The sequence below is a fragment of the Homo sapiens genome, chromosome 17 (assembly GCF_000001405.40).
Source record: "Homo sapiens chromosome 17, GRCh38.p14 Primary Assembly".
Lineage (NCBI taxonomy): Eukaryota > Metazoa > Chordata > Mammalia > Primates > Hominidae > Homo > Homo sapiens.
Window position 1 is genome coordinate 62,457,054 of NC_000017.11, and position 25,454 is coordinate 62,482,507.

General features: G+C 50.5%; 1 protein-coding gene and 1 long non-coding RNA gene across 43 annotated transcripts in view, besides 6 other annotated features; both read left to right on the plus strand.

The window, feature by feature from the left end:
• Positions 1-1,604: 1,604 nt before the first annotated feature.
• LOC112268200 (uncharacterized) lies at positions 1,605-7,285 on the plus strand. Its single transcript, XR_002958142.2, has 2 exons — positions 1,605-1,712; positions 7,179-7,285. It is a non-coding gene; the product is annotated as an uncharacterized LOC112268200 (long non-coding RNA).
• Positions 6,813-7,314: an enhancer, noted in NCBI's record as "H3K4me1 hESC enhancer chr17:60541227-60541728 (GRCh37/hg19 assembly coordinates)". NCBI's record gives its function as "activates a minimal SCP1, AML or CMV promoter by ChIP-STARR-seq in naive H9 embryonic stem cells {active_cell/tissue: H9 hESC(naive)}" and the evidence as "EXISTENCE:reporter gene assay evidence [ECO:0000049][PMID:30033119]".
• Positions 7,315-7,814: an enhancer, noted in NCBI's record as "H3K4me1 hESC enhancer chr17:60541729-60542228 (GRCh37/hg19 assembly coordinates)". NCBI's record gives its function as "activates a minimal SCP1, AML or CMV promoter by ChIP-STARR-seq in naive H9 embryonic stem cells {active_cell/tissue: H9 hESC(naive)}" and the evidence as "EXISTENCE:reporter gene assay evidence [ECO:0000049][PMID:30033119]".
• TLK2 (tousled like kinase 2) overlaps positions 13,861-25,454 on the plus strand; it is a 144,568-nt gene continuing 132,974 nt past the window's right edge. For 9 of the 42 annotated variants that reach the window (XM_047435174.1, XM_047435176.1, XM_011524215.3 and 6 more), the window contains exons 1-2: positions 22,391-22,560; positions 24,068-24,153. In XM_047435174.1, the coding sequence (XP_047291130.1) occupies positions 22,425-22,560; positions 24,068-24,153 (222 nt within the window). In that variant the 5' untranslated portion in view covers positions 22,391-22,424. Of the gene's footprint in view, positions 14,026-20,757; positions 21,029-21,770; positions 22,238-22,390; positions 22,561-23,714; positions 23,735-24,067; positions 24,154-25,454 lie in introns of those variants that run through there. The other 33 variants (XM_011524216.3, NM_001375271.1, XM_047435183.1 and 30 more) reach the window with 12 other exon arrangements.
• Positions 20,877-20,926: a silencer, noted in NCBI's record as "silent region_8805". NCBI's record gives its function as "represses an Ori minimal core promoter by ATAC-STARR-seq in GM12878 lymphoblastoid cells {active_cell/tissue: GM12878}" and the evidence as "EXISTENCE:reporter gene assay evidence [ECO:0000049][PMID:35858748]".
• Positions 21,037-21,176: a silencer, noted in NCBI's record as "silent region_8806". NCBI's record gives its function as "represses an Ori minimal core promoter by ATAC-STARR-seq in GM12878 lymphoblastoid cells {active_cell/tissue: GM12878}" and the evidence as "EXISTENCE:reporter gene assay evidence [ECO:0000049][PMID:35858748]".
• Positions 21,357-21,656: a silencer, noted in NCBI's record as "silent region_8807". NCBI's record gives its function as "represses an Ori minimal core promoter by ATAC-STARR-seq in GM12878 lymphoblastoid cells {active_cell/tissue: GM12878}" and the evidence as "EXISTENCE:reporter gene assay evidence [ECO:0000049][PMID:35858748]".
• Positions 22,147-22,536: a silencer, noted in NCBI's record as "silent region_8808". NCBI's record gives its function as "represses an Ori minimal core promoter by ATAC-STARR-seq in GM12878 lymphoblastoid cells {active_cell/tissue: GM12878}" and the evidence as "EXISTENCE:reporter gene assay evidence [ECO:0000049][PMID:35858748]".

Below are 25,454 nucleotides of genomic sequence, written 5' to 3' on the forward strand. Positions count from 1 at the left end.
ACCCAGGCTGGAGTGCAGTAGCACGATCTCAGCTCACTGCAACCTCCGCCTCCCAGTTCAAGTGATTCTCCTGCCTCGGCCTCCTGGGTAGCTGGGACTACAGGTGCGTGCCACCACGCCTGGCTAATTTTTTGTATTTTTAGTAGAGACGGGGTTTCACCATGTTGGCCAGGATGGTCTCAATCTCTTGATCTCGTGATCTGCCCACCTCAGCCTCCCAAAGTGCTGGGATTACAAGCGTGAGCCACTGTGCCCGGCCTTAAATTTATTTTTAAGGGATTTTTTTAAAATCACTGCTATAAAAGTAAAACAAGTACTGGTTGCCATGAATTGAAAGTATTTGTGGGCCATGTGCAGTGGCTAACCCCTGTAATCCTAACACTTTGGGGGGCCAAGGTGTGAGGATCACTTGAACCCAGGATGGCTTAAACCCTTTGAGGAGTTTGAGGCAAGCCTGGGCAACATAGTGAGGCCCCATCTCTATTTAAGAATAAATAAATAAAAATAAAAATGTATTTTAAAGATAAATACAATGAAAACAAAACAATATCTTAAGTTCCAGCTGGATGCCTTTGGGGCCAAAGACTTGGAGCACTAGGTCTGGAAACAGGAGTGAACGCATCAGTCACACCTTTCCTGGAGCTGTCAAATTTGGACGGGGAGATTCCAACAATAAACCCATAAATCCTCTAACACGTGGGCATGTGCCAGGAAGAACCAAGCAAGCTAGGGAAAATAGAGAGGTGGCAGGGATCAGGGAAAAGGCACACTCTGAGGTTGGGAGTGGGGACAAGGAAGGCCTCCTGGAGAAGGTCACGTCTCTCATGGAACATCTTCTCTGTGGGAGAAACAGCCAGTGCAAAGGCCTGAGGCTCATGGTGGATTCTCCACCCACCCAGTGTGGGGAACGCTGCATCATCAATCTTAAGCTTGGTACCATTGCTCACTCTCGTAATGAATGTATCTGCCTCAAGCACATTTTTTTTTTTTCAGACAGAGTCTCGCTCTGTCACCCAGGCTGGAGTGCAGTGGTGCAATCTCGGCTCACTGCAGCCTCAACCTCCTGGGTTCAAGCAATTCTCGTGCCTCAGCCTCCCTAGTAGCTGGGATTACAGGCATGCGCTACCACACTTGGCTAATTTTTTTGTATTTTTTGTAGAGACAGGGTTTGGCCATGCTGGCCATGCTGGTCTCAAACCCCTGGCCTCAAGTGATCCTCCTGCCTTGGCCTCCCAAAGTGCTTGGATTACAGGCCTGAGCCACCACACCCAGCCCTAGCACACTTTAATGAGTACTACCCAAGTGCATTAGGTACTGAGAAATGAGTGAGAATGATTGCCGGCTTCCAATCAACCCTCGTGTGCAGGGTCTGGGTTCTTCTCAGTTCATTTAGGAACTGTTAAAGCTGTGAGGTCAGCCCCGCTCACAAGGGTCTGGATTATACAGCAAGATTATTTTGCTTTTCTTTATTTTTCCCCACCCCACTAATCGTGCTCCTAAAGCAAGATTATTGATCTGTAATCTGAAACGTAACTGACAAGCTGAGGGGATCTCCCCAGGAAGGGAAGCTACTTGAGAAACTGAATTTAGATCAGAAGTTGATTGTTCAGAATACAGCTGAGCCCAGAGATTGCATGGCACCAAGAGAGGTTTCTGTCAAGCCGTCCCGTTCCGAGATGCCCCATCGCACCAACGAAGCAACTGCTGAGCAGGTTGGCACTAACACGAGCTGGCGTTTGTCCAGACCTTAAGACTCTTTAAATAGCTTTTCATATATTTAATCCTCACATTGCCTATGTGAATATAAGCGTAATTATCTCCATTTTACAGATGAGGAAATCCGAAGTTCAGGGAGGGTAAATGGTTTACCAAGGTCAGATGACCAGTGTTAATCGTGAGGTAATTAGCCTTAGATTAGGGAGAGGTAGTTTGATTTAAATGATATCTGACATAATATACGGGTTTAGACATTTTTGGCTCCAACCAGTGATGCCAGTCCAGGAAAATGTTACACCTGCTCAGATGTTAACCCTGCTGCGGGCTGGAGGAGAAGGCACCCTCACCCCAAACCTCCCCAGGAGAAGAAAACCCTGCAGCTATCAGAAGTTTTAGTAAAACAACTATCAACAGTCCATGCAACTGGCTACATAATTTGTGTTTGTGTTGCAACACTGTCCAAATTGCAACATTTTCATCAAAATAGAAAACTGAAATCCCCCATCTTTACCCTATGGGCCAGGTCCTCCTGGGGTGAAGGGGGAGCTGGGATTTTTTTTTTTTTTTTTTTTTTTGAGATGGAGTCTTGCTCTGTCGCCCAGACTGGAGTGCAATGGCGCGATCTCGGTTTACTGCAACCTCCGCCTCCCGGGTTCACGCCATTCTGCTGCCTCAGCCTCCCAACCCCCAACCAGTAGCTGGAACTACAGCTACCACGCCCGGCTAATTTTTTGAATTTTTAGTAGAGAAGGGGTTTCACCGTGTTAGCCAGGATGGTCTCGATCTCCTGACCTCGTGATCCGCCCACCTTGGCCTCCCAAAGTGCTGGGATTACAGGCGTGAGCCACCGCGCCTGGGCAGGGGGTGCTGGGATTCTAATCCCTCATGTTCAAGGGGTTCCGTGGAGGCTTCACAGGCTGTGGCCTGCTCAGTTGCAGAAGGGCCCACGCTTGATTTCATGCCCTGCAATTGCTGTCTTGAGATTCCTTCTCCTTGCTTCTTTCTTTTCCTTTTTTTTTTTTTTTCCGGTTGGTTGGTTGGTTTGTTTTTGAGACAGAGTCTCCAGTCTCACTCTGTTGCCCAGGCTGGAGTGCAGTAGCATGATCTCGGCTCACTGCAACCTCTGCCTCCTGGGTTCAAGCGATTCTCCTGCCTCAGTCTCCCGAGTAGCTGGGATTAGCCCGGCAAGAATTCATTTTTTTCTTTTCTTTTCTTTTTTTTTTTGAGACAGAGTGTCGCTCTGTCACCCAGACTGGAGCGCAGTGGTGCGATCTGGGCTCACTGCAACCTCTGCCTCCTGGGTTCAAGCAATTCTCCTGCCTCAGCCTCCCGAGTAGCTGAGACTACAGGTGCCCGCCACTACGCCTGGCTAATTTTTGTATTTTTGGGTTTTTTTGTTTTGTTTTGTTTTGTTTTGAGACAGGGTCTTGTTTTGTCACCCAGGCTGGAGTGCAGTGGCAGAATCTTGGCTCACTGCAACCTCTGCCTCCTGGGTTCAAGTGGTTCTCCTGCCTCAGCCTCCAGAATAGCTGGGATTACAGGTGCCCGCCACCATGCCTGGCTAATTTTTGTATTTTTAGTAGAGATGGGGTTTCACCATGTTGGTCAGGCTGGTCTCGAACTCCTGACCTCATGATCCACCCGACTTGGCCTCCCAAAGTGCTGGGATTACAGGCGTGAGCCACCACACCCAGCCTAATTTTTGTATTTTTAGTAGAGATGGGGTTTCACCATGTTGGCCAGGCTGGTCTTGAACTCCTGACCTCAAGTGATTCCACCCACCTCGGCCACCCAAAGTGCTGGGATTATAGGTGTGAGCCACTACACCCAGCCCAGAATTAATAATAATTATTTTTAACGAGGGGCCCAGCATTTTCATTTTACATTGGGTCTCACGAAGAACCCAGCCAGTCCTGCTGCTGCCTCTTTCTTGCTCCTTCTTCCTCCTTTTTCCTCTCCTTCACAAAGAGCTGTCTGCTCTTGCCTTTTTTTTTTCCTTCCTTCTTTCTTTTCTTTTTTTTCTTGTCTTTCTTTTCTTTCTTTCTTTTGACAGAGTCTGGCTCTGTTACCCAGACTGGAGGTGCAGTGGCACAGTCATAGGTCACTGCAATTTTAATTTTGAACTTCTGGGCTCAAGCAGTCCTCCCCGCCTGAGCCTCCCAAGTAACTGGAATTACAAGTGTGTGCCACCATGCCTGTCTAAGTTTTTTAAGAGACAAGAGACTGCGTGCGGTCTCACCATGTTGCTTAGGCTGGTCTCAAAGTCCTGGGCTCTAGTGATCCTCCCACCTCTGCCTCCCAAAGTGCTGGGATTATAGGTGTGAGCCGTAAGCCACTGTGCCCAGCTCTCTTGACTTTTTTTTTTTTTAGACGAAGATCACTGCACAATCTTGGTTCACTGCAACCTCCTCTTCCTGGGTTCAAGCGATTCTCCTACCTAAGCCTCCCGAGTAGCTGGGATTACAGGCACCCGCCACCACGTTTGGCTAATGTTTGCATTTGTAGTATGCCGGGAGGACATTCCCCTCCCTTCTGATCCTCCTCCCTTTCTAAGCCCCTCTCCACTCTCCTCGACCCCTGGGCACCTTCAAGCAGGCCTTCTAGACATGCCAATCCTATACCCTCAGGCCTTGCCCGTCTAACAGTCGTTCCCTGACCTCCCACGACCCCTCGGTCCCACAGCGTCCCAGGGTTTGTCTTTCTTTCTTGATTGTCTCTCTCCCTCTCTCTTTCTTTCTTTCTTTCTCCTCTCTCTTTCTTTTCCTTCCTTCCTCTTTTCCCTTCCTTCCTCCCCTCCCTCCTTCCTTCTCTTCCTTCCTTCCTTCCTTTCTTCCTTAAGACGGAGTTTCACTTTTGTTGCCCAGGCTGGAGTGCAATGGCACAATCTTGACTCACTGCAACCGCCTCCCAGGTTCAAGATTCTCCTGCCTCAGCCTCCCAAGTAGCCAGGATCACAGGCACCTGTCACCACGCCCGATTAATTTTTGTATTTTTAGTAGAGATGGGGTTTCACCATGTTGGTCAGGCTGGTCTTGAACGCCTGACCTCAGGTAATCCACCCGCCTCAGCCTCCGGAAGTGCGGGGATTACAGGCGTGAGCCACTGTGCCTGGCTTTGCATTTCTTATGACTCCTTAGCAGCATCCTTGTTCCTGCTCACTTCTGCCTCCTGCCTCTAGACTATGGGCTTGCCCCTTGGGTCCGGGGACCTGGTTGATTTTGCTCACAGTTGTATCCTCAGTACCTAGATTTGCCTGGCACATGAAGGTGCTCAGTAAATATTTATTGGGTGGGCAAGTGCTTAGAATGTCACCTACAAGCCATGTCCCTGAGAGTGTCAGGCACCAAAGGGAGGAAAGACAAGTTTTGCCACTCGATCCAGCAGGAAACAGCAGGGCTGGCGATGGACCTCAAAACCTGCAGAAAGGAGGGGCTCCCTAAGTGTTCCTTCTAAGCCACGCATTCCTGGGAAAGAGCAGGACAAAAGAGCCAGCCAGGGAGCAAGCCTGTCATGGGGAGGAGGCTGCATCAGGATGGTTTAGACGTGTGGAAACAATTCTAGGCCCCACAAGATGACAAGGGTGAATGAGCTGATCCACTTTGAATCTCTAAGTGCTACCAATACAAGAATAATTCCCAAATCTATGTCACGAGCTAAGGATCTCTCTTGAGCCTTGAACTAGTTTATCTAAATAACTCCTAGACATATCTCTCCCCTAGCAGGGCCCCAGGCACCTCAAACCCAATCTCTCCAAAGCAACCCCTAAGAGCAGGGGCTGGGGTTGAAACCCTGGGGTCACCATTTGTTCTCTCTGCCATCTTGGCCAAGTTAAAGTTCTCTCATGCTGTTTTCTTCGACTGAAAATTGAGTATAAACAATAGAATAGGGCCAGGCACAGTGGCTCACGCCTGTAATCCCAGCACTTTGGGAGGCTGAAGTGGGTAGATCACTTGAGGTCAAGAGTTCAAGACCAGCCTGGCCAACATGGTGAAATCCTATCTCTACCAAAAATACAAAAAATTAACTGGGCGTGGTGGTACACGTCTGTAATCCTGGCTACTCAGGAGGCTGAGGCAGGAGAATCGCTTGAACCCAGGAGGCAGAGGTTGCAGTGAGCCAAGATTGCACCACTGCACTCCAGCCTGGCAACACAGCAAGACTCCCTCTTAAAAACAAACAAAACAAACGATAGAACAGGCCAGGCGCAGTGGCTCACACCTGTAATCCCAGCACTTTGGGAGGCCGAGGCGAGCAGATCATCTGAGGTCAGGAGTTGGAGACCATCCTGGCCAACATACAGTGAAACCCTGTCTCTACTAAAAAATTACAAAAATTGGCCGGGAGCGGTGGCTCACGCCTGTAATCCCAGCACTTTGGGAGGCTGAGGCGGGTGGATCACGAGGTCAGGAGATTGGGACCATCCTGGCTAACACGATGAAACCCCGTCTCTACTAAAAATACAAAAAATTAGCCAGGCATGGTGGTGTGCATCTGTAGTCCCAGCTACTTGGGAGGCTGAGGCAGGAGAATGGCGTGAACCCGGGTGGCGGAGCTTGCAGTGAGCCGAGATCATGCCACTGCTCTCCAGCCTGGGCGAGAGAGTGAGACTCCATCTCAAAAAAAAAAAAATTACAAAAATTATCTGGGTGTGGTGGTGCACGCCTGCGGTCCCAGCTACTTGGGAAGCTGAGGCAGGAGAATTGCTTGAACCCGGGGGGTAGAGGTCGCAGTGAACTGAGATCATGCGCCACTGCACTCCAGCCAGGGCGACAGAGCAAGACTCCATCTCTCAAAAACAAAAAAAAAAAACACAAAAATTAGCTGGGTGTGGTGGTGAGCGCCTACAGTCTCAGCTATTCGGGATGCTGAAGCTGGAGAATTGCCTGAACCTGGGAGGTTGCAGTGAGCTGAGATAGAGCCACTGCACTCCAGCCTGGGCGACAAAGTGAGACTCCATCTGAAAAAAAAAACCAACAAAAAACAATAGAATACACATAATTAATTAATAGAGCAGTCCTAGTGGCCCCCATAGTGAAATTCTAATGCCTTGCAGAGAACAGAATCAAACTGTCAACCTCTGTAGGCTATTCTGTATTCACAGATTCATTTGTAGAAGATGCATTTCATTATACGTTGTGTTTTTAGCAGTTACAGTGATGGCATGTTCCTTGGCAACTTCAGCTTGGAGAGATGAGATTTGTAGCAGAAAGCACTCATCTGCATTTCTTCTCTTCCATCTCAAAGAGCAGTGAAGAGGCTGTAAGGCCGTCTGGTTTCTGAGGAACTTCAGCTTTACCCTCAGGCAGGTTCCGCTGCTCCATCAGGCCTATGACACTGTTAGGGGCCCTGGAAATTGTTTTAATTAATTTTAAAATCAGAAGAAAATATGCATATAATAATAATGAATATTATGAGAATGAATCTAGACCAAATGATGATCCCTTACCCCCGCCCTTGTCCAGGTGAATGGAGAAGGCCATGCATGTGTCCTGAGCTGAGCCAGTCAGAGCCCCTGCCCCGGACCCCAGATGGAGAGGACAGCCCGCTCCAGGCAGCAGGATCTGGATAGTAAGCGCTGGGGAGCTCTGGGAGGCCAGGAAGGTGGAGGGGAGGCAGCCAGGGGATATTCCAGGGTGACAGCATGGCAGGCCAGGGTGAAAGGAAGTATAAAAGCCCCCAGACAGGAAAATATCTGCATTCAAGCAGCTAAAGGCAGGCCCCGGAGGGTCCCCGGCAAGAATGGTGGAGGAGGCTGGAGATGAGATAGAGGCAGGGTTGGACCACCTGGGCCTTATAAGCCAGAAGGAGCTGAGATTTTTTTTTCACTCCAATGAGCAGCTATGAAAGGGTTTTAAGGGAGGGAGTGACCAGATCTGATTTACATTTTAAAGAGATTAGCACTGTGGAAAGTGTACTGTGGAGGTGGGGCAAGAGCTGAGAGCCACATGGAGGGCCCTGGATACTTCTGGACTCTGAATGGGGGGCCAGGCTTCAGCGATGTAGGTGAGGATGGAGACAGGTGGGTCCAAGAGGACCTGTGGGTGGAGGGGCTGGAGGGGGAAAGGAAAGGCTGTTATCAAGGATAAATGGTGGTGATGGTCGTGCTGTTCTGCTCCTGAGCTGGGGAAGAAGGGAAGACATGAAGACTTCTGTTCAGACCCATTGAGGTACCCATGGCACACACACATGGAAGTGTGGAGAAGGCAGTGGAACATGTCAGTCTGGAGTGGGGGACACAGGTCAGGGCTGGACGCCCCTGGATGCTGGAAGTGTGGGTGGCATCAGTGCACAACTGGTGTTTGAAGCCACAAATCTCTGAGTTAGGGAGGAAATGGGAATGTGCTGTGAACCAGAAACTCAGAGGAAACTGCCCTTGTTGAGTCCCTGCTGAAGACAGAGAATGAAGACAAGATAGAGAAGGATTCTTTCTTTCTTTTTTTTTTCTTTTTTGAGATGGAGTTTCACTCTTGTTGGCCAGGCTGGAGTGCAATGGTGCCATCTCAGCCCACTGCAACCTCCACCTCCCAGATTCAAGTGATTCTCCTACCTCAGCCTCCTGAATAGCTGGGATTACAGGCGCCCACCATGCCCAGTTAATTTTTGCATTTTTAGTGGAGATGGGGTTTCGCCATGTTGGCCAGGCTGGTCTCTAACTCCTGACCTCAGGTGTTCCGCCCTCCCAAAATGCTGGCATTACAGGCGTGAGCCACCGCGCCCAGCGAGAAGGATCCTTTAGATCTGGTAATGCAAGTGGCTCCTGACTTTGACCAGAGCCCTCTGGGTGGAGGGAGGAATCTGGAAGCCAAATTGGGATGGGAAGGAAGAGTAAAACAGCATGATCACCAGTGCCTGGCCTCATCTCATCCCTGCCTGGGCTCTGGATTAAAAAACAGCTATGAGCCGGGTATAGTCCCAGCTACTCGGAGGCCGAGGCAGGAGGATGGCTTGAGCCCAGGACGTTGAGGCTGTGGGTGAGCTACAATTGCACCACTGCATTCCAGCCTGGGTGACAGAGCAAGACCCTATCTCTGAAATAAAAAATATTTATACTTAAAAAAATAGCTATATAGGACATTTTGGGGGCAAATGGGGAAATTGGAAAATGGACTCCATATTAGATAATACCTTTTTTTGTTGAGACAAGGTCTCACTCTGGCATGCAGGATGGAGTGCAGGGAGCTCACTGCAGCCTCAACTTCCTGGGCTCAGGAAGTGATTCTCCAGCCTCAGCCTCCTAAAGTGCTGGGATTACAGGCGTGAGCCACCACGCCTGGCCTGTATTAGATAATATATAGCAGCTCTGAATTTGTTGTGTGTGATAATGGTGTGTGGTAAGAGAGAAACTGTAGGAGACACACATTGTAGTATTTAGGGCAGAAAGAGTAGATACTTGAAACTTTCCAGTGCTCCAACAATAACAAAAAATTAAACACATACCCCATACACAGAGAAAGCACAGATGGCAAAATGCTAATTGGAAAAATCTAGGTGAAGAATATTTTAATATTTTTTCAACTCCTCTTTCAGCTTAATTATTTCCTTACAAAGTTGGGTGCAGCCGGGTGCAGTGGCTCACTCCTGTAATCCCAGCACTTTGGGAGGCCGAGGCGGGTGGATCACCTGAGGTCAGGAGTTCAAGACCAGCCTGGCTGACATGGTGAAACCCCGTCTCTACTAAAAATACAAAAAATTAGCCGGGTGTGGTGGTGCATGCCTGTAATCCCAGCTACGTGGGAGGCTGAGCCAGGAGAATCACTTGAAACCCAGGAGGCGGAGGTTGCAGTGAGCTGAGATTGCGCCATTGCACTCCAGCCTGGGCAACAAGAGCAAAACTCCGTCTCAAAAAATTTAAATAAATAAATAAATAAATTAGCTGGGCGTGGTGGCGGGCGCCTGCCTGTAATCCCAGCTACTCCGGAGGCTGAGGCAGGAGAGTAGCTTGAACACAGGAGGCGGAGGTTGCAGTGAGCTAGATCTTGCCATTGCACTCCAGACTAGATGACAGACTGAGAACCTGTCTCCAAAAAAAAACTAAGTTGGGTGCGGTGGCTTACGCCTGTCATCCCAGCACTTTGGAAGGTCGAGGCCGGCAGATCACTTGAGGTCAAGAGTTCAAGACCAGCCTGGCCAACATGGTGAAACCCCATCTCTACTAAAAATACAAAAATTAGCCGGGCTTGCCGGGCACGGTGGCTCACGCCTGTAATCCCAGCACTTTGGGAGGCCGAGGTGGGCGGATCACCTGAGGTCGGGAGTTCAAGACCAGCCTGGCCAGCATGGTGAAACCCTGTCTCTAATAAAAATACAAAAATTAGCCGGGCGTGGTGGCAGGTGCCTGTAATCCCAGCTACTCAGGAGGCTGAGGCAGGAGAATAGCTTGAACCCAGGAGGTGGAGGTTGCGGCGAGCCAGGATCACACCATTGCACTCCAGCCTCGGCAACAGAGCGAGAATCTGTCTCAAAAAAAAAAAAAAAAAAAAAAAAAGAGGCCAGGCGCGGTGGCTCACGCCTGTAATCCCAGCAGTTTGAGAGGCCGAGGCAGGCAGATCATGAGGTCAGGAGATTGAGACCATCCTAACACAGTGAAACCCCGTCTCTACTAAAAATACAAAAAATTAGCTGGGCATGGTGGTGGGCGCCTGTAGTCCCAGCTACTCGGGAGGCTGAGGCAGGAGAATGGTGTGAACCCGGGAGGCAGAGCGTGTAGTGAACCAAGATCGGGCCACTGCACTCCAGCCTGGGCGACAGTGAGACTCCGCCTCAAAAAAAATTTTTTTTAAATTTTAATTACAAAAAGGAAGGGTGACTAGCAGGGTCAAGAGAAAGTTTCATACAATTGAGAAATTTTTTGAAGAATGGGAGCATAAATGTGTGTTGAAAGCAATGCTCATGGAAGGGAGGAGGAGAAGGTGATTATGTCAGCCAGGGGTGAGAGGTGCAGGGCAGAATCCTGGAGGAGCAGGTGGATGGCCCAGAGTGAGGGCCTGGAGGGTGGCCTTTGCCCAGTGTGGGGCAGCCACACGTCAGATGGGCAACTTGGTGGGGGGCTTTCCTGTCTGATGACTTCCCCTCTGTACTCTACGTAGGATATGGGGCTCTCTGCTAAGAAGGGCCAGGAGAGCAATGGGGAGGTTCCCGCAGGGAAAAACTGGTGGGATTTGTGGGTTTGTGTTGACGATCTGGGTGAAGATTGTTTATTGGTTTAGGGAGGGAGACAAGAGGAAAGATTAAGTCCCCACACCTCCAAGACTCAGTTTCTCCATCTGTAACATGAGGAGATTGAACTAGGAGATCTCAAAGGACTCTGAACTCCAGTACGCTCATGGTCCCTTTAGGAAGTGATGGGAAGCATATACTGAATAGCACGAGCCTGGGTTATTTAAGAATTAAGGATAGTGGCTGCTCTGCCTATGGAGTAACCATTCCTTTTTTTTTTTTTTTTTTTGAGACGGAGTTTTGCTCTTGTCACCCAGGCTGGAGTGCAATAGCGCGATCTCGGCTTACTGCAACCTCCGCCTCCCAGGTTCAAGCGATTCTCTGCCTCAGCCTCCCATGTAGCTGGGATTACAGGCATGCGCCACTACCACGTCTGGCTAATTTTTGTATTTTTAGCAGAGACGAGGTTTCACCATCTTGGCCAGGCTTGTCTTGAACTCCTAACCTAGTGATCCACCCGCCTTGGCCTCCCAAAGTGCTGGGATTACCGGCGTGAGCCACTGCACCTGGCAGAGTAGCCATTCTTTTATTCCTTTACTTACTTAATAAACTTCATTTCACTTAAAAAAAAAAAAAGAATTAAAGATAGCTAGTAAAAACTAGACAATTGCCTAAGACGTTTCTAATTGAGGATTAAAACCAATAAATACAAGAAGGCCAGGCATGGTGGCTCATGCCTGTAATCCCAGCACTTGGGGAGGTTGAGGTGGGCAGATCACCTGAGGTCAGGAGTTCGAGACCAGCATGACCAATATGGCGAAACCCTGTATCTAATAAAAATACAAAAATTAGCCGGGTGTGGTGGCGTGTGCCTGTAGTCCCAGCTACTCAGGAGGCCAAGGCAGGAGAATTGCTTGAACCTGGGAGGCAGAGACTGCAGTGAGCCAAGATTGTGCCACTGCACTCCAGCATCCTGAGCGACAGACTGAGACTCTGTCTCCAAAAAAAAAAACAAAAAAACCAATAAATACAAAGAGGCACGTGAAAGGCAGACTGCTGGCCAGGCATGGTGGCTCACGCCTATAATCCCAGCACTTTGGGAGGCCGAGGCAGGCACATCATGAGGTTAGGAGAGTGAGACCATCCGGCTAACACGGTGAAACTCCGTCTTTACTAAAAATACAAAAAATTAGGTGGGCGTGGTGGTGGGCACCTGTAGTCTCAGCTACTCAGAGGGCTGAGGCAGGAGAATCGCCTGAACCCGGGAGGTGGAGGTTGCAGTGAGCCCAGATCTCGCCACTGCACTCCAGTCTGGGTGACAGAGCGAGAATCCTTCTCAAAAAAAAAAAAAAAAAAAGAGAAAGAAAAAAGAAAAAAAAAGAGAGGCGGGTGTGGTGGCTCACACCTGTAATCCCAGCACTTTGGGAGGCTGAGGCAGGTGGATCACCTGAGGTCGGGAGTTGGAGACCAGCCTGACCAACATGGAGAAACCCCATCTCTACTAAAACTACAAAATTAGCCAGGCGTGTAATCCCTGGCGCATGCTTGTAATCCCAGCTACTCGGGAGGCTGAGGCAGGAGAATCGCTTGAACCCGGGAGGCAGAGGTTGTGGTGAGCCAAGATCACACCACTGCACTCCAGCCTGGGCAACAAGAGCGAGACTCTGTTAAAAAAAAAAAAAGAAAGAAAGAAAGAAAAGAAAAAGAAAAGCAGACTGTTTAAGGCTTCAGAGCACCCCTGGGGGAGTGAGGAGGTGGCCCAGAGGCCGAGGGCTCTGAGATGCATGACGAGGTGCTGTTTGGGTGAACACGGTGCGGGGTCCTTTTCAGAGTATATACTGCTTTCTCCTTGCTCTGGCCGAAGTTCACATCACACAGCATGAAGTGAAACAGCACATCAATGTGATGAACACGGTTAACACTGAAGAAACCTGTATGTGCGAGCAAATATAGCATGAAAGGGTTCAGGGAATTTTTTTTTTTTTTTTTTTTGAGACTGAGTCTCACTCTGTTGCCCAGGCTGGAGTGCAGTGGCACGATCTCCGCTCACTGCAACCTCCCACCTCCCAGGTTCAAGCGATTTTTCTGCCTCAGCCTCCCAAGTAGCTGGGACTATTGGCACGTGCCATGATGCCTGGCTAATTTTTGTATTTTTAATAGAGTCGGGGTTTCACCATATTGGCCAGGCTGGTCTCAAACTCCTGACCTCATGATCTGCCCACCTTGGCCTCCCAAAGTGCTGGGATTACAGGCATGAGCCACTGTGCCCGGCCGTCCTGTTTTTTGGTGTGTGTGTGTGTGTGTGTGTGTGTGTGTGTGTGTGTGTGCACGTTTGAGAGGGAGTCTCCCACTGTTGTCCATGCTGGAGTACAGCAGTGTGATCTCGGCTCACTGCAACTTCTGCCTCCCAGGTTCAAGCAATTCTCCTGCCTCAGCCTCCTGAGTAGCTGGGATTATAGGCATGTGCCACCACGCCTGGCTAATTTTTTGTATTATTAGTAGAGACAGGGTTTCACCCTGTTGGCCAGGCTGGTCTTGAACTCCAGGCCTCAAGTGATCCACCTGCCTCAGCCTCCCAAAGTCCTGGTATTACAGGCATGAGCCAATAGTGCCTGGCCAATAGTTTTTTTTTATTTTTATTTTTAAAGGGACAGGGTCTCCCTCTTTCACCCAGGCCGTAACCCTGAACTGCGAGGCTCAAACGATCCTTCTGCCTTAGCCTCCCAACTCCCAAGTAGCTAGGACTACAGGTGCACACCACCATGCCTGGCTAATTTTTAAATTTTCGGTAGAGACGGGATCTTGGTATGTTGCCCAGGCTGGTCTCAAACTTCTGGCCTCAAGTGATCCTTCTGCCTCAGCCTCCCAAAGTGCTGGGATTACAAGCGTTGTGCCACAGTGCTCGGCCAACAATAGATTTATAATATCACTGAGGGCAGGGATTGTGAGTCATCACCAGCTCCCCAGTGACTGGCAGCATGCCAGGAATGGGGGAGGGGAGAGAGGGAAGGAAGGGAAGCTTCTCGGCCTGACAGTTCAGCCAGGTGCAGGCACTGTCATGTTCATGGCCACCAGGCATCTGCCAAGCACCAGGCTCTGTGCTGCCCACTTTACACAGATGGTCTCATTTGGCCTTGATGACAGCCTGTGGAGGTTGGTATTATTTACTCCAAGAGGAAACTAAAGGCAGAGAGTTTAAGTAACTTGCCAAAAGTCACATGGCAGAATCAGGATTTGAGCTCAGATATGTTAAACTGAAGCTTGTGCTCTTGACTGCCTGGCTGTGCAGTCTTCCAGAAGAGCACGGCATGGACTTCTGGAATTCTTGCAGCCACTCGACTCAAAAGCAGTTAGCATAGTGCTGAGCACAGGTAATAGGGCATTTGACAAATGCCAGTGACTGTAGACCGAATGATTGACAGTCTGAAAGAATGAATGAGTGAAGTGACTTCCTGTCTTGTGAGGTTTTTCTCTTCAAATGGAAGATTTCCCCATAGCCTTTGAATGCTCAATCTAATTAAGGCAAAAAGGCATCAGAGAATTGCAGGGCCTTTCCTTTATTAACTGTCAAGTCCAATCTGGAGGCTGTTTATGTGCCAAGGTCAGAGATCAGTCTTTAGCTGCTCTCCTCTCATTCATCTGGCCAACCTCAGAACATAAAGTTTATTGATGCAAAACTGATTGGCAGGCTGGGCTAACGAGCTGGCGGGAACAGGGAGTATCAGAAAGAGTTCTAAGCCAGCGTCGGCTCGGCCCGGCTCCTCTGCTGTCCTAACTTCCCTGTGCTCTAGGTTGCAGGGTCGCACCTTTCAGAAGTGAACCCCAGAAGAGTAGCAAATACTGCCTGGCCTTTTGGCAGTTCTTATGGAGCCCAGTCAAGAGCAGGAGGGGGAGCAGTCCTTTTTCCTGGTTTTGTCTATTAACGTGGAAAGAGCGAGGCATGGAAGATTAGGTAGTATAGTCTTTTTTTTTTTTTTTTTTTTTTTTTTTTTAGACAGAGTCTTACTCTGTCGCCTAGGCTGGAGTGCAGAGTGCAGTGGTGTGATTTCGGCTCACTGCAAGTTCTGCCTCCTGGGTTCGTGCCATTCTCCTGCCTCAGCCTCCCAAGTAGCTGGGACTACAGGCGCCCCCCCACCATGTCCGGCTAATTTTTTGTGTTTTTAGTAGAGACGGGGTTTCACCGTGTTAGCCAGGATGGTCTTGATCTCCTGACCTCGTGATCCGCCTGCCTCAGCCTCCCAAAGTGCTGGGATTACAGGCGTGAGCCACCGCGCCCAGCAGTATAGTCTTAAGACTTCACAAATCAAAGAAATTCCTGTGTAAGCCTCGTCAGGCCTAGGGGTCGTGAAGAGGAAGGTAACTGTTATGCCTACAGTTTGCAGCCAACCCATTAGTAAGCAGCGCCTGTCTGTGGGGAGCTCCTGGCAGTGCCTCCTCCTCCATGCCCAGCAGGAAAGAGAGGCTGGGAAGGATGCATGGGCCACATGCCTGGCTCTACTTGCAGTGCCCCCAGGATAAAAGCCAGGAGGCTGGCCGGGCACGGTGGCTCATGCCTGTAATCCCAGCACTTTGGGAGGCCAAGGTGGGTGGATCACGAGGTCGGGAGATCGAGAGCATCCTGGCTAACACGGTGAAACCCCGTCTCTACTAAAAATAAAAAAAATTAGCTGGGCGAGGTGGCACGCGTCTGTAATCCCAGCTCCTTGCTAGGCTGAAGCAGGAGAATCTCTTGAATCCAGGAGGCCCAGGTTGCAGTGAGCTGAGATCGCACCACTGCACTCCAGCCTAGGCGACGGAGCAAGACCCCGTCTCAAAAAAAAAAAAAAAGCCAGGAGGTGGGCAGTCAGGAGAGACAGGTGGACCTGGGAGCTGTGTCTTCTACTCAAGATAGGGAAAGTACAACTCCCCTGGTTATTATCAGGACCAATTGATTTTGCCTGATCTGAGAGAAAACATCCTGACCACAGGTCACTTGAAATGCCCTGTAATTCAGAAACAGTGGCTGTCCACAGCAGACAGCTATCTGGATTTAAGACCCCAAATTCACACACCACACCACAAATTGTCCACTTACAAGCAAAAAAATAACAAACAGCCAAGCCCCCAACCCACTCTCATTTTATTCCCTTGGTTCCAGGTCTCCTCTGAGCAGGTCATGTCTCCTGGTGTGTTTGCGTACAGGCTGTGGGGCTGGGGGGAAGGAGTCCTTTTTCCTCTTACCCCAGGCAGGGCTGGCTCCAGGTTGCAGAGCTCCACAGAGAAAACTGCTCACTGCAGAGAAGGGCATAGTCCAGCCCAAGCTCTACTCTGATGAGCTCTGAGATCGGGGGTGGTGACTTCATCTTCTATCTATGGCTTGGAACAATGATGATGACCATGACCCTCTGGTTTCAGTTCAGTCAATGAATGGGGAGCAAATTGCTATTGTCAGGCACTAGGCTAGGGAGGTGATTCAGAAAGGCTCCCAGAGACCCACACACCAATCACTAAACTAATATAACACGCTAAATACTACATCTACAGTAGGGATAAAGTGTTTTAGGTACACAAAGGGAGTTGAGAAAAGCTTCAGAGGTTTTCAAAGTGGTTTCCAGACCATCATCAACCAGCCTCACCTGGAAAGTTGTTAGACATACAAATATCAGCCCCACCCCAGACTGGCTGAATAAAAAATTCTGGGGGTGGGGCCCAGCAATCTGCGTTTGAACAAGCCCTCCAGGTGATTATGATGCAACCTAAAGTCTGAGAATCACGTAGAGGTTGGAAAACTACCTTGCAACCAGCAACCTGTTTTTGCAAATAAAGTTTTATTGGAACACAGCCATAATCCATCATTCAGACATTGTTTGTGGCTACTTCCCTTTTAACCAGCAGAGTTGGTAGTTACGACAGAGACAATATGGCCCGCAAAGCCTGATTCTGCCAAATGACTAGACTAGATTTCCCATACTAGGGAGCATAGCCTAGATTTTTTTTCTTTTCTTTTTTTTGAGACAGAATCTCACTGACACGCAGGCTGGAGTACAATGGTGGGTTCTCAGCTCACTGCAACCTCCACCTTCTGGGCTCAAGTGATCTCCCAACCTCAGCTTGCCGAGTAGCTGGGACCACGAGCATATGGCAACATGCGCATCTAACTTTTGTATTTTTTTTTGTTAATTATTATTTTTTGAGACCGAGTCTCGCTCTGTCGCCCAGGCTGGAGTGCAGTGGCGGGATCTTGGCTCACTGCAAGCTCTGCCTCCTGGGTTCATGCCATTCTCCTGCCTCAGCCTCCCCAGCAGCTGGGACTACAGACACACGCTGCCTTGCCCGGCTAATTTTTTGTATTTTTAGTAGAGACGGGGTTTCACTGTGTTAGCCAGGATGCTCTCCATCTCCTGACCTCGTGATTCACCCGCTTCACCCTCCCAAAGTGCTGGGATTACAAGCATGAGCCACCGCGCCCGGCCCTGTATTTTTTTTTAATGACATAATTTTATTTATTTATTTACTTTTATTTGAGAGGGCGTCTAGCTCTGTTGCCTGGGCTGGAGTGCAGTGGTGCGGTCTCGGCTTACTGCAAGCTCCACCTCCTGGGTTCATGCCATTCTCCTGCCTCAGCCTCCCAAGTAGCCGGGACTACAGGTGCCAGCCACCACACCCGGCTAATTTTTTTTTTATTTTTAGTAGAGACTGGGTTTCACCTTAGCCAGGATGGTCTCGATCTCCTGACCTCGTGATCTGCCCGCCTCGGCCTACCAAAGTGCTGGTATTACAGGTGTTGAGCCACCGCGCCCGGCCTAGAAGACGGAAGTTTGCATGTTGCCCAGGCTGGTCTCCAACTCCTGGGGTCAAGTGATCCACTGCCTCGGCCTCCCAATGTGCTGGGATTACAGGCGTGAGCCACTACACCTGGCCTCTTTTTTTTTTTTTTTTAAGAGACAAGGTTTCAATATATTGCCCAAGCTAGACTCAAACTCCTGGCCTCAAGCAACCCTCCTGCCTCAGCCTCCTAAGAGGCTGGAACTACAGACAGGTGCACGCCACTATGCTTGGCTCCTGTCTATGGCGGAGGTTGCAGTGAGCAGAGATTGTGCCATTGCACTCCATCCTGGGCGATAGAGCCAAACTTTGTCTCAAACAACAACAAAATCCCCTTAGAGCTCTTTCCTAGCAACCAAACGTTTTTCCATTTTGTTAGGAATTGGAAGAAGAGAGGAAATAACTGGCTAAGTAACTACTCTATATCAAGCACGGTTACAAGGCATTTTCCAACATTATTTCAATTTTAATGAAAGCTGCTCATGAAATTAGGTTTACTGGGTCACAGTTTTCAGATGAGGAACCTGGGACAGGTGAAGGGACAGAATTGGAACCCAGTTCTGTCATACCACAGATGCCCCACCTGTTCTACACTGGCCTGTCAAGAATAACAATAATAATAATTATTATTTTAGAGAGAGGCCTGCTGTGTTGGCCAGGTGGACTGCAGTGGCACGACCTCGGCTCACTGCAACCTTCGACTCCCAGGTTCAAGCGATTCTCCTGCCTCAGTCTCCCGACTAGCTGGGATTACAGGTGCCCACCACCACGCTCAGCTAATTTAAAAAATATTTTTAGCAGAGATGGGGTTTCACCATGTTGGCCAGGCTGGATCTCAATCTCCTGACCTCGTGATCCACCCGCCTTGGCCTCCCAAAGTGCTAGGATTACAGGTGTGAGCCACCGCGCCAGGCCCAATGATTATTTTAAATAATAATTATTTTTTTTGAGACGGAGTCTCGCTCTGTCACCCAGGCTGGAGTGCAGTGGTGTGATCTCGGCTCACTGCAACCTCCGCCTCCTGGGTTCAAGCGATTCTCCTGCCTTAGCCTCCCGAGTAGCTGGGACTACAGGCGCCCGCCACCACGCCTGGCTAATTTTTTTGTATTTTTAGTAGAGACAGGGTTTCACCGTGTTAAGACAGGATGGTCTCGACCTCCTGACCTCATGATCCACCGCCTCGGCCTCCCAAAATGCTGTGATTACAGGCGTGAGCCACCGCTCCCAGCCTTAAATAATTACTTTTATTTTATTATCATTATTTTTGAGACAGGGTCTCACTCTGTCACCCAGAATGGAGTGCAGTGGTGCCATCTTGGCTCACTGCAACCTCCGCCTCCTGGGTTCAAGCAAAATTCTCCTGTCTCAACCTCCCAAGTAGCTGAAAGTACAGGTACGTACCACTATGCCGAGCTAATTTTTGTATTTTTAGTAGACACGGGGTTTCACCATGTTGGCCAGGCTGGTCTCGAACTGCTGGCCTCAAGTGATCCACCCGCCTTAGCCTCCCAGAGTGCTGGGATTACAGGCGTGAGCTACCGCACCCAGCCTACTTTGAAAAATGGGATCATCGGCCAGGCGCGGTGGCTCATGCCTGTAATCACAGCACTTTGGGAGGCCGAGGTGGGCGGATCACGAGGTCAGGAGTTCGAGACCAGTCTGGCCAACATAGTGAAACTCCGTCTCTACTAAAAACACAAAAAATAAGCCAGGTGTGGTGGTGTGCGCCTGTAATCCCAGCTAGTTGGGAGGCTGAGGCGGGAGAATCGCATGAACCCAGGAGAAAGAGGTTGCAGCAAGCTGAGATTGTGCCACTGCACTTCAGCCCGGGCGACAGTGTGAGACTCTGTCACCAAAATAAAATAAAATAAAATAAAATAAAAAGATCCTCTAGCCCAAATCCCTCCATCACAGAAGCAGTTGGAGAAGTTTGAAAAGGTTAGATGATAGGCCCATGTGGCTTGTCTGTGGAAAGAGCTAGGCTGCAAGACACCTCTGACTCCATTGAGTGCTTTCTCTTACTCTCCTTTCCCGATTTAAGACATTAAATCATTTAAGACAGTGTCATTTGGTCGAGTGCGGTGGCTAACGCTTGAAATCCCAGCACTTTGGGAGGCTGAGATGGGCGGATCAACTGAGGTCAGGAATTCGAGACCAACGTGGCCAACATGGCAAAACCTCGATTCTACCAAAAAAGAAAAAAAAAAAAAATTAGCCGGGCCTGGTAGCGCGTGCCTGTAATCCCGGCTACTCAGGAGGCTGAGGCAGGGAGAACTGCTTGAACCCGGGTGGCAGAGGTTGCAGTGAGCCAAGATCGCACCACTGCACTCCAGCCTGGGCGACAGAGCGAGACTCTGTCTCAAAAAAAAAAAATTTTTTTTAAAAAGACAGTGTCATTTGATGGAGTTGCTTTCTTGATCGTTGGCTGCAATTAAAGACCTAGCCTCACTGTCTTTTGTGTTGCCTTGGACCGGCTCTTAGGTTCTACCGCCCTAACAGGCAGTGGAGGCTGGCCTCGAGTGGTAGTCCTCCATCTTGCCCTCTTTTCCTACCCTCTACCCCCAACCCGCGAGCTGCTCTCCTGTCTTCTTCCAACACTGTTCTCTTTGGGAATATGCATGTCCAACTTCCCAAGCAGTCTGGGATCTGGAGTAAGATGACTCTTGGTTTAATGAAGTTTTTCCACAGTGCTTGCATGTGCCCCAAGGGTTTGGAAGGTTGGAGAACTAACAAAAAGCAAAGAGCCATCCTGTGTCGTTTCGGCAGGTCTGTGTTCTGTTAAAATATGGAAGAATTAAGAGAAGAACGAAGAAATAAGGGCAGAAACTCCACTGGGGAGTACTTGTCTAACCCTGAAAAAGTTCAAGGCTGTTGTTCAAGGTCTGAATTTTTCCCTTGAGATTTGCTTGTAGTCCTTAAAGTCATCTTCAGACATCTGATCAAGGCAGCATCCGCGGAAAATTATAAGGTGGGTGGCTGCACTGGAGCCTGTCCTGGCTCAGGGGCGCCGGTGAAGAGTGATTTTTTTCCCTTGGCCTTGGGGGATCAGAGGGGGTGCCCTCTGCTATGCAGGAAGCCCTCCTTGCCCGCTAGATAGTTCTCATTCCTCAGGAGATACTCTGTGAGGGGCCGGCGTGTTTTCTCCATCTTGGCACTTACCCTCAGACCCTCCTAAGTACCCGGGAGGGCCGTGTTTTTCATCGGAGGTTGAAATGGAACCTCCCCCTGGGTGCCCGGGGAGAGTACCTTGGGGGCAGCGCCCCTCCTTCCGGAGGGCAGCATCCCCGCGGGGGCGGGGGCTCGGCTTTGATCCCAGGGCACCTTTTGTCCCTGGAGACGCTCTGCCAGCCAGGTACGTGGAGGGAGTGCAGCCCGCCCTCCCGGGCGACGCGCGGGGCTGGGGCGGGCCGGCGGCTCCGGGGAGTGGCGGCCGGGAGCCCGCGAACGCGGGTGGGCGCCGTCGCCTCACTAACCGGGCGCCTCCGGGAAGTCCGGGCGGGGTCCGCCGCTCACACATAGGATTAGCGTCCTCTAAACTCCATCCCTGGGAAAAGCCGCCGCACTTCTCACCCAAACTCGCGGAGCCGAGGGGCTGGGCAGGGGTTGGGCGGGCGCGGGGGCCGGCGAGGCGGATCCGGGAACGGGTGGACCCGGGCGGCCAAGCCCCTTCAGCGCCGGCCCAACCGCCCCGGCCCGGGCCAGTCCAGCGGGGCGGGGGCCGGCGACACAAAGGCGGCGGCGGGTCCTCCGGGCCTCCGGCCTCGGGCAGTCGCAGGGCGCCCCGGGCCGCCGGACCTCCCCTCGCGTTGCGGCCCGTCAGCCGGCGCCGCCCGTCGCCCGCCCTCAGCCGTCCGGCGAGGCGCGGCTTCCTCCGCCGGCGCGGGGTCCCCTGGTTAACCCCTGCCCGGCAGCGCGGCCGCTGATTGGAGAAGGCGGGGCGCCGGGGCAGCGGGGACCCCCCCCCACCTTCCTCGTCCCCTCCCCCTGCTCCCCCACTGTCGGCGCTTCCCCCACCCCCCCAGGACCCCCCCCGCCTCCCAGCCGTGCAAATCTCGCGAGGAAACACGCGGTTTCACTAGTGTGTTTACACCGATCACTACTAATCCGGACCGAACCGATCCGGATTAAGGGGCCGGAGGCGGGTCCTGGGCACCAGCGGTTCCGACCCCCCCGCCCTCCGCGCCGCACCCGAGTGGCCCCCAGCCGAGCGGGCCCCCACCTCCTGGCCCGGCCTGGGCCCTCCTGCGCCTCCCTTGGCCTTTGTCCGGCGCCAGGAGGCCGGTCCCGCGCCCCCCGCGGCCGCCCGGGCCCGGGCCCGCGTCGGGCGCCTGGCTCTGTACGCGAGCCCGGGGATCTGCGGCCTTCGTGCCCCCCCTCCCCCGCCCGCCCTCTCGTGGAGCCCGGCGCCGGCGGCGGCTGCCCGGGCGGGGGGTTGCGGCGCTCAGGAGAGGCCCCGGCTCCGCCCCGGGCCTGCCCAGGGGGAGAGCGGAGCGGTCCGCAGCCGGGTCGGGTCGGGGCCCCTCCCGGGAGGAGCGTGGAGCGGCGGCGGCGGCGGCGGCAGGTGAGAGGCTGAGCCCCGGGCGGGGGAGGACTCCAGGCCTGGGGCATTAACCGTCCTGGGGACCCCTTTGGCCTGAGGAGCCTGCGACCTGGGCCCAGCTCGGGGCCGGCTCCGGACCGCAGCTCCTGGGCGCTGAGGCGGGAGGGGCTCCCTGAGGGCTGCGGGTCGCTGAGGGGCCGGGCAGAAGATGGGGGAGGCCCAGGCGGCCCCGGCCTGGGATTGGGGCCGGCGGCCGGAGGAGAGACGGGGGCCCCCAGGCAGCTGGAGGCCTCGGCAGCCTCCCGGGCGCCCCCGAGAGCCGGCCCTCCCTTCCTCCGTGACAGGTGGGCCTGGAGTTGGGGAAAGTTTGGAGCCGGCGAGGGGCGCCGGGACCAGGCCCCATCGCTCCTGCTTCCCGGCTGTGGGCTGCAGGGAGGATCCCAGTCCAAGGCCCCGCTGGAATTAGACGGAGTGGCTATTTCCTTAACATGAGTTGACATTAAACGGAATAACCGCCGGGGCGTCATTTTCCGGGCCGGGCCTGGGGATGGAGGTTTGGGAAGTGTTGCGAGAGACCTTGGGGTTTGGGAGAGACTGCAACCTTTGCCATTCCGACCTCGATTAGGGCAGGGCAAGACGCGAGGAAGGCCACGGGGGAAACTCATTCTCCCAGTCTCTTTTTTTTCCTTCTTTTTCTTTTTGTAAAGATGCATTTCAACCTTTCTGAGAATTTCCTAATTCTCTCTCTAACCTGCACTTGCATGTGTGGGTGAAACTTTAATTTGTCACCTTTTCATTCCCCTTTGCCCCAGGCTCTCAATCCAGGAAGGGAAATGAAACTGAAGGACTTGTAAGGGGGTTGTTACTGGAGATTGTAGAGTTGTTGGATTGCAGAGGAGAATGTTCGATTCATCTTTTCAGTAACTTTAAAATCACACCAACCATTCCAACTACTTAATAATGTGTTCGAAGGGGTTCTATGTAATATGTTTCTTTTCCACTGTTAATATTAAAGAGAGGTTTTAAATGGGTCGTGTAGGAGTTGGTCTCTTGCAAAGGATGAACATATTTGCTGAAAGTAGCCTGTGCATTAATTGGTTATGGAAGTTTAAAAATGGTGTCCTCCTGCCCCTCCCTGCTTGGAAGAAGGGCTAAAAGCAGATGTCCAGAATCAAGAGAAAACTACTGCAGGGAGTGGTCAGAAAAAGATTTTTTAAAGGGATTGTTATGGAGCTATATTAATTTACTGAGTGAATGGAGGTGGATGGTTTTACCGTGGGCTCTCTATTAAATTTAAAATAATTCCTTTTCTCATGAGCTACTGTGAGCTCTTCAGAGACAGGAGCTGTATAATAGTGATTTTGCAGTTATTTGTAGCTTCTGATTCATCCTATATTCTTTTGAAATTATTGTCAATGATTCATATTTTTAGTTTAAGGACTACTTCCTGAGTGGGAAATAAATATCTGAAGATACTTAGCTAGATTAAGGCTGATAGAAGGAATTTTCTTTTTGCAGGCTAGTTCTTGTTTTGTTCTTTCCCCTGTGCTCAACTTTTACAGAAATTATATGAAGGGTTTGAGGGGTTTATTTTTGCTGTTAAAATCAAATCAGAACTAGGGAAGAAAAAGTGGCTGTCATAGAAGAGGACTTCTGAGCTGCTTTAAAACTTTTCAATATATTACTGTTTGATGCAGCACATAGTAGTCTACCACTTGTATGCTATATTTACTTGAGATTTACCTGCATTTGATCTTTCAGTGAAATAATTACTGTGAGTTTTGTTCTACAGAAAATTGCCTCCTCACATTTTAGTGTTTATGGTTTCACAGCCTACTTTTTCTTTTTCAGCAGAAATGATGGAAGAATTGCATAGCCTGGACCCACGACGGCAGGAATTATTGGAGGCCAGGTTTACTGGAGTAGGTGTTAGTAAGGTGAGTAAAATGATGATCATGAACACTATTCATATTCTAATTTAAACACATTTTTTAAATGATTAAGAGCAATTTGGGTAGGCCCTTCTGATAGTTTGCAGGGGAGAAGATTTGGGTCTTAATTTCAGTGAACTTTTAGATCCTACTGGTCATTCCAGTAGTCATTTAACATAGTAGGTTTGAAAATGTTCTATATGGGAATATATGTTTCTTCTTCCTTTCTGGTATAGGAGAGGTTTCTCATGGTTCTTGTTACAAGGAAACTAACAGGATGTGTGTATAGATTCTATGCCATATTTTGTTAAAACTTGTCAGCCATTCAGAAAGAAAATTACAAGGCATTGCATAGCTTTGTTACATTGGACTTTGGAGGTAGTTACATGGTAGAGTATTGAAAAATTGGCCTCTGTGAAGTCTGCAGACTCTTTACTGGTTGCACCCCCAGACTGGTTTGTTGCTCTTCTCATTCTTCCTTCTTAGTTTTTATTTTTGTTGCAGGAGCATAATATTAGATTAGGCCCCCATTAACGGGCACGTATGAAGTTAAGCAATGTTATAGTTTCCTATGCATGTTTATGTACCCACTGGTCCACCCCTCTGCTCTCATAGGATGATTTTACAATGTGTAAAATGTTTGATTTTAATACAGTATGCAAAGTATATTTACGATATTTTATTTAAAAGCTTTATTGGTCCAAGATCATATTACTTGGGCTTGAGATGTGTGAACGTATGAGCTACTGAATTTTTTTTTTTGAGACAGAGTTTTCCTCTTGTCGCCGAGGCTGGAGTGCAATGGCGTGATCTCGGCTCACTGCAGCCTCCACCTCCTGGGTTCAGGTGATGATTCTCCTGCCTCAGCCTCCTGAGTAGCTGGGATTACAGGTGCCCGCCACCACGCCCAGCTGATTTTTGTATTTTTAGTAGAGATGGGGTTTCACCATGTTGGCCAGGCTGGTCTCGAACTCCTGACCTCAGGTGATCCACCTGCCTCAGCCTCCCAAAGTGCTGGGATCACAGGCAGGAGCCACTGTGCCTGGCTGAGCTTTTGATCTTTAACCAGTGTGATACAACATTTGTTTCTGTGCTTTTCAAGAAATCCTGTCTCATGGTAACCTGGGTGTTGATCTCGTGCTTTAGTTAGTAGCTTCTCCAAGGAGAAGGCGTGTTGAGGTTTAGTTGGAAAAATGGGCTTCTTTGATGGGTCTCACAGTTTTGGTGAGCCGGGATAGCTTGATAGGGTTTTGTTTTTTTTTTTTTTGAGTCAGAGCCTTGCTCTGTCACCCAGGCTGGAGTGCAGT